The 14,519-nt window shown below is 37.1% G+C and overlaps 1 protein-coding gene across 10 annotated transcripts in view, besides 1 other annotated feature; it reads right to left on the reverse strand.

Annotated features, from left to right (window-relative positions):
* Window positions 1-14,519, reverse strand: part of NEDD4 (NEDD4 E3 ubiquitin protein ligase) — a 166,696-nt gene that overhangs the window by 52,483 nt on the left and 99,694 nt on the right. The gene's annotated exons all lie outside the window — the stretch shown is intronic.
* Window positions 12,197-12,366: an enhancer, noted in NCBI's record as "experimental_40173 CRE fragment used in MPRA reporter constructs". NCBI's record gives its function as "activates a minimal promoter by MPRAs in K562 erythroleukemia cells, with activity observed for both the introgressed and non-introgressed 15:56183879 variant alleles {active_cell/tissue: K562}" and the evidence as "EXISTENCE:reporter gene assay evidence [ECO:0000049][PMID:34662402]".

Consider the following 14,519-nt stretch of genomic DNA (forward strand, 5'->3'; position numbering starts at 1 on the left):
TAGATATTAAATCCAGGAAGTCTTCCAATAAAATGACTAATTCTCTCTGCTCACCCCAAAGTGAAGTCCACTAGTCAGTAGATGCCCATGAACAAAACCCTTCCAATAAATATTGGAATATTATACATTATGGGCAGTTATGGACTACTAAATATTTGGGGAAAGTTTATAACATGAAACACACAGACCTAAATGAAAGACGGGAGTCTGATGAATAAGAATCAAGTCAAATTGCAAGAAAAATACCTCAGAAAAACCGTAATATTCCCAGAGATAAGAGGAGATGAACCACCTGTCAAACAAGATAGGAGGCTGCAAAAAAGAAGCAATTAGAGGACAAGAAATATCTCTTAGAAATAAAAAATATAACTCAAAAACTTCAAGATAGAGTTAGAAGATAGAGTTAAAAAAATTCTCAGAAAGTAGAACTAAAAGACAATACACTATAGGATTCTTCAAATAAGGAAATTACAGGAGAAAATTCAAAAGTCAACATCGAAATAATAGGCATTCCAGAAAGAAAAGAGGAAAGGGAGGACATTATCAAAAAAGCATTTTAAGTAACTTTGCTTGAACTCAAGGAAGAGAATATTAAAAATAAAAGGGCTGGCTGGGCATGGTGTCTCATGCCTGTAATCAATCCCAGCACTTTGGGAGGCCAAGGATGGCGGATCATGAGGTCAGGAGTTCGAGACCAGCCTGACCTACATGGTGAAACCCCATCTCTACTAAAAATACAAAAATCAGCAGGGCATAGTGGTACATGCCTTTAATCCCAGCTACTCAGGAGGCTGAGGCAGGAGAATTGCTTGAACCCAGGAAGTGGAGGTTGCAGTGAGCCGAGATCGCACCATTGCACGCTAGTCTGGGTGACGGAGTGAGACCCCGTCTCCAAAAAAAAAGAATAAAAAGGCCCACTGAATATTAGGCAAAGTGCATGAAAGGGGAAAAAGACTTGCTGCAAGGCACATCACCGTGACATTTCAGAGCACCAGAGATAAAGAAATTCTAAAAGCTTGGAGAGTAACAAAGTAGCTAATACACAAACCTGAAATATAAGAGAGTACTTCCTGCAAAATAATGAGAGAAAGATATTTCTTATGTAGAATTCTACATTCAGAAAAACTACCTTTTTCAATTATGATGGTAGAATAAAGACATTTTCAGATACTGGTATTTTCAGGGAGGTAATGGAGGATATACTTCACCAAAATGAGGGAGTGTGCCGTGATATGGAAGATGCAGGGGATTCAAGATAGGAGAGCATAGAGGAATCTCAGAAAGACAGGGAAAGGAAGTCTCAGAGTAACAGTTATGTAACACCTAGAGAGCAACCAGTGCATACTGGAGCAGGAAGACAGCTACGAGAGAGATGTTTCCTAGAAGAGTAGGGATAATCATATCGACTAGTAGGGTTTGGTGAAAATTAAATAAGAGAATACAAAGTGCCCTGCATAATACCCAGCACACAGTAAGTATTCAAAACATGTTAGCTAATATATATTTAAAATACTGGCGTATATAATGAAACCCCTGCTCCCCTTTCCCTGGACCAGTGTGTGGACATTTCAAACAGGTATATCCAAGAAAAGGAGTACGGTTGGAGTCTAAGGCCTAACAAATTAGCTTAGTTTAACGCCATATTCCTATTCTAGAACATGAGTTGATGATAATTTTTGAAATGGGTAAGTTAGCTTTTAATGATGTTTTCAAGGCTATATTGCAGTAAGTTTCTTTTCTTTTCTTTTTTTTTTTTTTTGAGATGCAGTTTTACTCTTTTTGCCCAGGCTGGAGTGCAATGGCGTGATCTCGGCTCACTGCAACCTCTACCTCCCGGGTTCCGGCAATTCTCCTGCCTCAGCCTCCTGAGTAGCTGGGATTACAGGCACACGCCACCACTCCCGCCTAATTTTGTATTTTTAGTAGAGACAGGGTTTCACCATGTTGGCCAGGCTGGTCTTGAACTCCTGACCTCCAGTAATCTACCCACCTCGGCCTTCCAAAGTGCTGGGATTACAGGCATGAGCCACAGTGCCCAGCCAGTATGTTTCTTTATTCCTGTTTTTATCACAAGTAGATGTTATGCTTCATTAAGTCTGATCTTTAAGAAGCTCTACATGAATAAGTAAAATATAACAAAAAATAGTAAAATCTCAATCAGGATGACTGAGGAATAAAATATTTTGGGTAACTGAATTATCTAGTTAACTTAGGTTTAGGCTTAATCAGATTAAAAAAAACAAAAACAAAAACAACTTTTTTTTTGGTTTAGTCTTATTAAATAGCCTTGTCCTGAGTAAACAGAATACACTGAACATCTGTATGTTTGATGATTTGTGACCCTGCAGTGCTTAAAAAACATAGCTGTGATCAACTGTCACTAGAGTAATACAGGCACAGAACAGGGTTTCTCAGCTTGGGCACTACTGACAATTCGAGCCAGATAATTTTTTTTTTGTTGTGGGGGCTGTCTTGTGCATTGAAGGATATTTACCAACATTCCTGGCCTCTACCCACTTGTGTCAGTAGTACCCGCCCTCCAGTTATAACAACCAAAAACATTTTCTGGCTTTGTCAAATATCCCCTGGGTGGCAAGATCATTCCTCATTAAGAACCACTGCTACAGAAGGTATAAGACCAAATGTTCCAACAAACGTGCAGAAGTCTCTTCCTAATTTTGGTTTTTAAAAGTAACAGCTTTTAGGCAGGAAGTGGAGCAAGAAAACCAAATAGAAGCCTCCACTGATCATCCTACCTGCAGAAACACAAAATTTAAAAATCACACAAAAAGCACCTTCATAAGAACCAAAAATCAGGTGAGCAATCACAGTATCTAGTTTTAACTTCACATCACTGAAAGAGGCACTGAAGAGGGTAGGAAAGACAGTCTTCAGTTGCTGACACCCACCCCCTCCATCCCCTGGCAGTGGCTGTATGGCATGGAGAATCCGTGCACTTAGGGTTGGGAGAGCTCAGTGACAGTGGGACTTTGCATTGGAACTCAGTGCTGCATTGTCACAGTGGAAAGCAACACCAGGCAGAACTCAGCCATGGTCCATGAAGGTGGCATTTAGATCAGCCAGAGCCGGTGGAGAATTGTCCATCCTAGTGGTTGGAGCTTGAGTTCTGGCAAGCCTCACCACTGTGGGCTAAAGCACTCTGGGGTTCTAAATAAACTTGAAAGGCAGTTTAGGCCACAAGGACTGCAATTCCTAGTTAAGTCCTAGTTCGTACTGGGCTTGGATTGGAACCAGTGGACTTGGGGGGCAGGTGATCTAGTGAGACACCAGTTGGAGTGGTCAAGGGAGTGCGTGTGCCACCCCTACACCAACCCCAGGCAGTGCAGCATGCAGCTCTGAAAGAAACTCCTTCCTTTTGCTTAAGAAGAGTAAAGAGGACTTTGTCTTACAACCTGGATACCAGCTCAGCCATAGTAGGCTAGGACACTTGCTGACTGAAGAGCCTTAGGTCCTGAATAATCAGCAGCAGTAACCAGATAGTATACATCATGGGCCTTAGGTGAGACTCTGAGACATACAGGTTTCAGGTGAAATCCAGCACATTCTCAGCTGTGTTGGCTATAGAGACTCCTGCGTGGGAAGAGTAGAAGGAAGAGTAAAGAGGACTTTGTATTACAGTTTAGGTACCAGCTTGGCCACAGTAGGGTAGAGCACCAAGCCTCTTGGGGTCCTTGATGCCAAGGCTCAGTTCTTGGATGGCATTTCTGGACCTTCCCTGGGATACAGGGGAGCCCACTTCTCAGTAGAGTGAATTCCAGGCCTGGCAGCATTCACCACCAGGTGACTGAAGAGCCCTGGGGCCTTGAGTGAACACTGGTGGTAGTCTGGCAGTACTCCCCATAGCCCTGTGGCAGGAGTGGCCACGGAGAGACTCTGCCTGTGGAAAGAGAAGGGAAGAGTGGGAAGAACTTTGTCTTATGGTTTGTGTGTCCACTCAGCTGCAGCAGAATAGTGTACAAGGTAGATTCCTAAGCTTTCTGACTCCAGGCCCTGACTTCTAGACGGCATCTCTGAATGCACTCTGGGCCCAAGGTAACTTGCTGCCCTGAAGAGAAGGTCACAAGCCTGGCTGACTTTATCTGCTGATTGTAGAGCCCTAGGGCCTTGGAGCAAACAGAGGTGGCAGCTAGCGAGTGGTTACAGCAGGCCTTGGGCGAGACTCAGTGCTGTGCTGGCTTTAGGTTTGACCCAGTGCATTCCCAGTGGTGGTGGCCACAGGGATGCTTGTGTCATCCCTCCCCTAGTTCCAGGCATCTCAACACACACACACACACAAACACACACACACACACACACACACACACACAGAAAGAGAAAGAGAGAGAGAGAGACTCTATTTGTGTGTGAGAGAGAGAGACACTCTATTTGTCTGGGAGAAAGTAAGGGAGAAGAACAAGAGTCTCTGCCTGGTAATCCAAAGAATTCTTCCAGATGTCATCCAAGACCACCAAAGTGGCACTTCTTTTTTTTTTTTTTTGAGACAGAGTCTCACCCTGTTGCCCAGGCTGGAGTACAGTGGCATGATCTTGGCTCACTGCAATCTCTACCTCCCAGGTTCAAGCAATTCTCCTGCCTCAGCCTCCCAAGTAGCTGGGATTACAGGCACCTGCCACCATGTCTGGCTAATGTTTGTATTTTTAGCAGAGATTGGGTTTCACCATGTTGGCCAGGCTGGTCTTGAACTCCTGACCTCAAGTGATCCACCCACCTTGGCCTCCCAAAGTGCTGGGATTACAGGCATGAGCCACCATGCCTGGTCCCAAGGTGGTACTTCTGTAAGTTCAAGAGCCACAGCATTACTGGGCTTGGAATGTCCCCTAACACACATATGGCTGCAGCAACCAAAACTCAGATCACAACAACCAGGTCCCTTTGAATACCTGGAAAGCCTCCCCAAGAAGGATGGGTAAAAATAAGCATAGACTGTGAAGACTATAATAAATACCTAACTTTTCAATGTCCAGACATTGGCAAACATCCACAAGCATCTAGACCATCCAGGAAAATATGACCTCACAGAATGTGCTAAATAAAGCACCAGGGACCTATCCCAGAAACAGAGATATATGTGACCTTTCAGACAGAGAATTCAAAAGAGTTGTTTTGAGGAAACTCAATGAAATTCAAGATACACAGAAAAAGAATTCAGAATCCTGTCAGATAAATTTAACAAAAGAGATTAAAATAATTAAAAAGAATCAAGCAGAAATTCTGGAGCTGAAAAAAGCAACTGATATATTGAGTAATGCATCAGAGTCTGTTAATATCAGAATTTATCAAGCAGAAGAAAGAATAGTGAATTTTAAGAAAGGCTATTTTAAAAAACACAGTAAGAGGAGACAAAATAAAAAGAATAAAAAACAATGAAGCACACCTACAAGATCTAGAAAATAGCCTCAAATGGGCAAATCGAAGAGGTATTGTCTTTAAAGAAGTAGAGACAGAGATTGAAGTAGAAAGTTTACTCAAAGGGATAATAACAGAGAACTGTCCAAACCTAGAGAAAGAGATCAATATTCAAGTACAAGAAGGTTATAGAACACCAAGCACATATGACCTAAATAAGACTCCTCAAGATATTTATTAACAAAACTCCCACAGGTCAGGGGTAAAGAACGGATCCTAAAAGCAGCAAAAGAAACAAATAACACACAATGGAATTCCAGTACATCAGGAAGCAGACTTTTCAGTGGAAACCTTATTACCTTGGAGATAGTGGCATGACATTTTAGAAGTGCTGAAGTAAAAAAAGTTTTACCCTACAATAGTATATCTGGCGAAAATGTCCTTCAAACATGAAGGAGAAATAAAGACTTTCACAGACAAACAAAACCTGAGGGATTTCATCAATACCAGACCTGTCCTACAAGAAATGCTAAAGGGAGTTCTTCAGTCTGAAAGAAAAGGATATTAATGAGCAACAGGAAATTATCTGAAGGTACAAATTTCACTGGTAACAGTAAGAACACAGAAAAGCACAGAATATGATAATACTGTAATTGTGGTGTGCTAACTACTCATATGTTAAGTAGAAAGACTAAAAGATGAACTGATCAAAAATAGTACCTATAACAACTTTTTAAGACATAGTACAAGAAGATATAAATAGAAATAAAAAAAAAGCAAGAGGACAAAGTTAGAGTTTTTATTAGTTTTCTCTTGGCTTGTTACTTTGTTTATGCAATCAGTGTTAAGTTGTCATCAGTTTAAAACAATAACTTATAAAATATTTGCAAGCCTCTTGGTAACCTTAAATAAAAAGACATACAAAAGATACACAAAAAATTAAAAGACAGAAATTAAAACATACCACCAGATAAAATCACCTTCACTAAAAGGAAGACAGGAAGGAAGAAAAGAAGGAAGAAAAAACTATAAAACAACCAGAAAACAAATAACAAAATGGCAGGGGTAAGTCTTTACTGAACAATAATAACACTGAATATAAACAGACTAAACGCTCCAATCAAAAGACATACAGTGGCTGAATAGATTTAAAAAAAAAAAATCAAGACCCAACAATCTGTTGTCTACAAGAAACACATTTCACCTATAAAGACATAAAGACTAAAAACAAAGGGATGGAAAAAGGTACTTCATTAAAACGGAAATCAAAAAAGGGCATGAGTAGCTGTATCAGATAAAATAGACTTCAAGACAAAAACTATAAAAAAAGACAAAGAAGGTCATTATATAATAACAAATGGGTCAATTCAATAATAGGATATAACAATTATAAGTCTATATGCACCCAACACTGGAGCACTCAGATATAAAAAGAAAATATTATTAGCGATAAAGAGAGAGACAGACCCCAATACAATTATAGCTTGAGAATTCAACATCACACTTTCAGCATTGGACAGATATCCGGACAGAAAATCAACAAAGAAACATCAGACTTAATCTGCACTACAGACCAAATGGACCTAATAAATGTTTAGAGAACACTTCATTCAACTGCTTCAGATTACACATTATTCTCAGTGCATGGATCCTTCTCAAGGACAGACCATTTATTAGGCCACAAAATAAGCCTTAAAACGTTTTAAAAAATTGAAATGGGCCAGGCGTGGTTGCTCACGCCTCTAATCCCAGCACTTTGGGAGGCCGAGGTGGGTGGATCACGAGGTCAGAGATCGAGACCATCCTGCCAACATGGTGAAACCCCATCTCTACTAAAAATACAAAAAATTAGCAGAGCGTGCTGGTCTGTAGTCCCAGCTACTCGGGAGGCTGAGGCAGGAGAACTGCTTGAACCCAGGAGACAGAGGTTGCAGTGTGCCAAGGTCACACCACTGCACTCCAGCCTGGACAACAGAGCAAGACTCCGTCTCAAAAAAAAAAAAAAAAATTGAAATAATATCAAATATCTTCTCTGACCACAAAGGAATAAAACTAGAAATAAATAACAAAAGGAATTTTGGAAATGATACAAAAACATCGAAATTAAATAGTATGCTCCTGAATGAATGAACAGTGGGTTAATGAAGAAATTAAGAAGGATATTGAAAATTTTCTTGAAACAAATAATGGAAGAATAACATACCAAAACCTCTGGGATACAGCAAAAGCAGTACTCAGGGGAAAGTTTATAGCTAACAGTGCCTACATCAAAAAAGAAAAAAAAAACTTCAAATAAACAGCGTAAAAAGTGCATCTTAAAGAACTAGAAAAGCAAGAGCAAACCAAACCCAAAATTAGTAGAATAAAAGAGATAATAATGATCAGAGCAAAAATAAATGAAATTGAAATGAAGAAAATGACACAAAAGACCAACAAAAAGAAGTTGGTTTTTAAAAAAAGATAAACAAAATTAACAAACCTTTAGCCAGACTAAGAAAAAAAGAGAGAAAACCCAAATAAATAAAATCAGAGATGAAAATGGAGACATTACAACTGATACCACAGAAATCAAAGGATCATTAGAGATTATGACCAAGTATATGCAATAAATTGGAAAATCTAGAAGTGGATAAATTCCTAGACACATACAACCTATTAAGATTGAGCCATGAAGAAATCCAAAACAGGAACAGACCAATAACAAGTAATGAGATTGAAGCTGTAATAAAATGTCTATCACCAAGGAAAAGCCCAGCATCCAATGGCTTCACTGATGAATTTTACCAAATATTTAAAGAACTAATACCAATCCTACTCAAACAATTCTGAAAAACAGAGGAGGAGGGAATACTTCCAAACTTATCATATGAAGCCAGTATTACTCAGAGACCAAAACCAAACAGACACAACCAAAAAAGAAAACTACAGGGCCAAATTTCTGACAAGCATTGATACAAAAATCCTCAACAAAATACTAGCAAACCGAATTCAACAACCTATTAAAAAGATCATTCATCATGACCAAGGGGGATTCATTACAGGGATGCAAGGATGGTTCAAGATATGCAAATTAATGAATGTGATACAACACATCAACAGAATGAAGTATTGATTATAAACAGAATGATCATTTCAATTGATGCTGAAAAAGTATTTGATAAATTTCAACATCATTTCATGATAAAACACTACAAAAAATGGTATCGAAGAAATATAGCTCAACATAACAAAAGTCATACATGACAGACCCATAGTGAATATCATACTGAATAGGGAAAAACTAAAAGCCTTTCCTCTAACATCTGGAACATGACAGGAATGCCACTTTCACCACTGTTATTCAATGTAGTAAGGGAAGTCCTAGCTACAGCAATCAGGCAAGAAAAAGAAATAAGGGGCATCCAAATTGGAAAGGAAGAAGTCACATTATCCTTGTTTGTAGATGATATGATCTTATATTTGAAAAAACCTAAAGACTGCACCAAAAAACCATTAGAACTGATACATTCAGTAAAGTTGCATGATACATAATTAACATACAAATATCAGTAGCATTTCTCAATGCCAAGAGTAAACAATTTGTAAAATAAATCAAGAAGGCAATCCTATTTACAATAACTACAAATAAATTACCTAGGAATTAACCAAAGACGTGAAATATCTCTATCAAACACTGATGAAAGAAATCAAAGAGGACACAAAAAATGGAAAGGTATGTTCATGGATCAGAAGAATCAATATTGTTAAAATGCCCATACTACCCAAAGCAATCTACAGATTTGATGCAATCCCTATAAAAATGCCAATGACATTTTTCACAGAAATAGAAAACAGAATCCTGAAATTTATGTGGAACCACAAAATACCCAGAATAGCCAGAGGCATCCTAAGCAAAAAGAACAAAACTGGAGAAATCACATTACCTGACATCAAATTACATTACAAAGCTATTGTAACCAAAATGGCATGGTACTGGTATAAAAACAGACAGACCAATGGAACAGAATAGAGAACCCAGAAACAAATCCATACATCTACAGTGAATTCATATTGGGTAAAGGTGCCGAGAACATACACTGGGGAAAGGACAGTTTCTTTAATAACTGGTGCTGAGAAAACTGGATATCCACATGCAAAAGAAACAAACTAGACTCCTATTTCTCACCTTATACAAAAATCAAATAAAAATGGATTAAACACTTACATCTAAGACCTTGAACTATCAAAGTAATAAAAGAAAACTGAAGAAACTCTGCAGACATTGGAGAAGGCAAAGATTTCTTCAGTAATACTCCATAAGCACAGACAACCAAATCAAAATGGACAAATGGGATCACATCAAGGTAAAAAGCTTTTGCACAGCCCACAATAAACAATCAACAAAGTGGGGAGACAGCCCATAGATTGGAAGAAAATAGAACGACCATATAATCCAGCAATCTCACTACTAGGTATATGCCCAAAAGAAAGGAAATCAGCGTATTGAAAGGATATGTGCACTTCAGTGCTGAAGAGATATTTCAGCACTGTTCACAATAGCCAAGATTTGAAAACAACCAAAGTATCCATCAACAGACATATAAAGAAAATACGGTACATATACACAATGGAGTACTATCCAGCCATAAAAGGAATGAGATCCGCTCATTTGCAACAACTGGATAAAACTGAAGGTCATTATGTTAAGTGAAATAAGCAAGGCACAGAAAGACAAACTTCACATGTTCTCACTTATTTGTGGGAGCTAAAAATTAAAACAATTGAACTGAGATAGAGAGTAGAATGATGGTTACCAGAGGCTAACAAGGGTAGTGGGGTAGGGAGAAGTAGAGATAAGTAATGGCTACACAAAAAAGAATAAATAAGATCTAGTATTTGATAGCAGAATAGGGTAACTTTAGTCAAAAATAATTTAATTTAGTGTTTTGTTTTGTTTTGTTTTGTTTTTTTTGGAGACAGAGTCTTGCTCTGTCACCCAGGCTGGAGTGCAGTGGTGTGATCTCAGCTCACCGCAACCTCCACCTTCCAGGTTCAAGCAATTCTTGTGCCTCAGCCTCTTGAGTAGCTAGAATTACAGGCATGTGCCACCACGCCCAGCTAATTTCTTGTATTTTTTAGTAGAGATGGGGTTTCACTGTGTTGCCCAGGCTGGTCTCAAACTCCTGAGCTCAGGCAATCTGCCCACATCGGCCTCCCAAAGCGCTAGGATTACAGGCATGAACCACCACACCAAGACTAATTGTACATTTAAAAATAACTAAAAGAGCATAATTCTACTGTTTGTAACAGAAAGGATAAAGCTTGAGGGGATGGATACCCCATTTACTCTGATGCAATTATTATGCACTGTATGCCTGTTTCAAAATATCTCATGTACCTCATAAATATATATACCTACTATGTACCCACAAAAATTAAAAATAAAAAAAGCTTTATTAAGATGTAATTCACATACAATTAACCCACTTAGAGTGTACAATTCAATGTTTTTTAGTATTTTCACAGAGTTGTTCAACCATTAGACAATCAATTTTAGAACATTTTCATCACCCAAAAAGAACACCCTTACCAATCAGCATTCACTGCCCATTTCCCCACCCCTCCTTCAGTCCTAGGCAACCACCAACCACTTTCTGTCTTTATGGATTTGCCTATTCTGGATATTTCATATAAGTGGAATTATATAATACGTGGTCCTTTATGACTGACTTATTTTACTTAGTATGTTTCCAAGATTCATCCATACTGTAACATTCCTTTTTTATTGTTGTTACATTATATGGATATACCACATTTTATTTATCCATTTTTCAGTTGATTGACATTTGGGTTGTTTCAACTGTTTGGCTATTATAAATAATGCCACTATGAACATTTGAGTAAAAGCTTTTGTACGAACATATGTTTTCATTTCTCTTGGATATATACTCAGGAACAGAATTTGCTAAAAATCTGCCAGACCGTTTTCCAAAGTTGCTGCATCATTTTACATTTCTATCAGCACTGTAAGATTTCAATTCCTCCCCTTTCTTACCAACAATGACCTGTCTTTATGACAATACCCTTCTTAGTGGGTGTGACGTAGTATACCATCGTGGCTTTTTGCATTTCCCTGGCAGCCAATGAGATTGAGCATCTTTTCATGTGCTTATTGTGCTTATTTCCTAAAATCTCTTACAATCTTCCCTACAGCTTTCATCTCCATTGGAGAGGCAGTGCCTGGTCACTGAGGGACAGAAAGAAAACTCATCCCATCCCATCTCCCTAAAAAAATCACCTGTTTTTATTGCTCTATATTTGTTGTTCATTGGTTGTCTTTGGGAACAAAAGAACAAAAATCCCACATGGTGAGAATTTTCTTGTCTCAAGTACCTACATTTTAAATATTTCTTGCAACAGTGTCTTATTTAAAGCCAATGATCTGAAATGAGTTTCTTCACTTCTACATAAAATGAAATGATCCCAAATAGCTGTATTTCCAATATTTGAAAAATGAAAAAATTTTCCAAACTAAAAGTCAATATGCATAGTCTCAGAAGAAGATGGAGAATCTGAAATTGGGAACTATCCTGGAAAGTCTGGGACATATGGTTGCTATAAATACAGGACAATTAGAGGTTCTTTTTCCATTTACAAAGGAAAAGTAATCGTTTTAAATTCATTCCTATGAAGGCAAGTCAGTCTGTGATGTTCATTAATATTTCCCTAGCCAACCAATTGTTCCAAATTCTGAGTATCAAGCATTTCTTTGCAAGAGTTATTTCCTATATTTGAACTGCATGCAGCCTACTTCATAAAACAAATTTGCATTTGGTATAATATAAGTAATTTAAGAATGCCTGAAAGTCTGAAAAAGAATTTAGAACACCAGGTGATTTTAAACAGGACTATCTGCAATGGGCACAGTTTAGTCAGTAAATAATACCTTTTCTAGTATTATAATGACATGAATTTCAGTTTCTTAAAACAATTTTTAGAACATAAAAAGAAAATCCAAATTGCTGTTTTTGTAAAAACTTTAATTAGAACTAAAGATGCTCTAATTTTAGGAGGTCAAATGTTGTTAACTTTAATAAGAATGAATAGTAGCTAAATGTTATGCTTTAAGAGAATCCAAAGTAATAAAAAATCAGAATTTAAAAAACAGTTAAGTTAAAGTGTCACAACTTTGAAGAATACTTTGCTTTAAAAAGAGTTTCTATTAAATATGAATTATAGGCTGGGCACGGTGGCTCATGCCTGTAATCCTAACACTCTGGGAGGCCAAGGCAGGTGGATCACCTGAGGTCAGGAGTTTGAGACCAGCCTGGTCAAAACGGCCAAACCCCGTCTCTACTAAAAATACAAAAATTAGCCAGGCGTGGTGGTGGCCACCTAGAATCCCAGCTACTCGTGAGGCAGAGGCATGAGAATCACTTGAACCTGGAGGGGCAGAGGCTGCAGTGAGCTGAGATCGCACCACTTCACTCCAGCCTAGGCAAAAGAGCAAAACTCCAACTCAATAAATAAATAAATAAATAAATAAATAAATAAATAAATAAATAAATAAATAAATAATAAATATGAATTATAAATAATTTTCCAGGGCAAATCTACTGTAAAAGGCAAAGGATTATAGAAAGAATAATTTCTTCACAGCCAGAGGCCAACAAGATAGCCAAGGTTTTCTGCTGTAATATCAAACTTTTTGTTTCAATCATGCTTTTTAAAGAGTAAAAATAAATTTTATACCTGAATATTAGATATAGTATAATTTGTTTTTTCAGTTTTCAGATTTAGCTATCAGCACTTTTCTTTCAAGAACATTTTTTAAAAAGTAATTTAAAAATATAAGTAACACATACACCGAGTACAAAATCAAAAAGAAAATGAAACAGTTTCTACCCTCCAGCTATCCATTTTTACCCTCTGTCCTTGCAAAAGGTGATAGCTGTTTTATTTTTGTGCCTATCCATCCCTTTAGAGTTTTCTCTGACATAGTGTTATGCAGCTTGCTTTCCCCCCTTCAACATTATCTTTCATACTTTGTTCACATATCAATATATATAGAGATGCTTTACCTTTTTGGTGGTTGTATGGTATGCTATTATATGGTACAGCAAAATTTCCTTAACTAGTTCCCTATTGACAGACAATTAGATTGTCAATCTAAATTCAGACTGACAATCTAAATGGTTTCAAATCTTTTGCTACCACAAACAATGCCTCAACCAAGCTGGTATTTATCATTTTGCATATATATCTAAAATAATTTTATTTTGTGTAACAATAAAGATTACAGTAAACTAACCTGAGATAGAAACAGATCTTAGTGATTAATTGGATGCTACAGAAGGAAATACTTTTCTGAGTGAGCCAAGAAGCACAGATAAGTTTAAATACCTTTCTTCAAAGGTAAGATCAAGATCAAAGATTCAAGATCAAGAGGCTTACATTTGTATTAGTATCTTAATCATTGTTAATAACAACTGTCTTCACAGAGCTGTATTAAAATCCTCTATGCGCAAATGTCATGATTCCTCTGTATAGATCATATAATTCTAAAGACAAGAATTGGGGCAGGCAGTAAAAAAAGAAATTGAAAGAATTTACAGCCATAAAAATGTTCAAGCCGTTATTAATCATACTATTTAAATTAAGCTAACAGATCAAGAAATACTTCAGAGATCACAAAAGACCAGAATACAATTAAAAACTTAAAGTTTTTAATTAAAACTTTAATTGTAAGTTTTACAATTAAAAACTTGAATTGAAATTATCTAAGAACCTCTTTGCTTAAAGTGGAGTTTAAATTTCCATTCTATTTATAAGACATTTAATTTTTTTTTATTTGAACACATGAAAAGTGGGTATTTGGACACATGATATTCGCACATGAGTGTCTCAGAAAAATAAGCAGAACTTATATGAATAGACCTTTTATAGTATTTTAAAAATAAGAAACCATATTTTTCTGCTTGCTGAATATAATAAAAACTATTATTTTAAATGAACATCCTTCCTCTCAAAATCCACACTATATGGATTCATACTACATACTAGATATAGATAGAAAAAAGGCTCACAAAAATCACTGTAAATTTAACTTAACTGTTTTCTAAGGTAAACCAATCTTATTAATAAACAAAATTGCATTTGTATAGCTGCTTCTT

The sequence above is a fragment of the Homo sapiens genome, chromosome 15 (genome assembly GCF_000001405.40).
Source record: "Homo sapiens chromosome 15, GRCh38.p14 Primary Assembly".
Taxonomy (NCBI): Eukaryota; Metazoa; Chordata; class Mammalia; order Primates; family Hominidae; genus Homo; species Homo sapiens.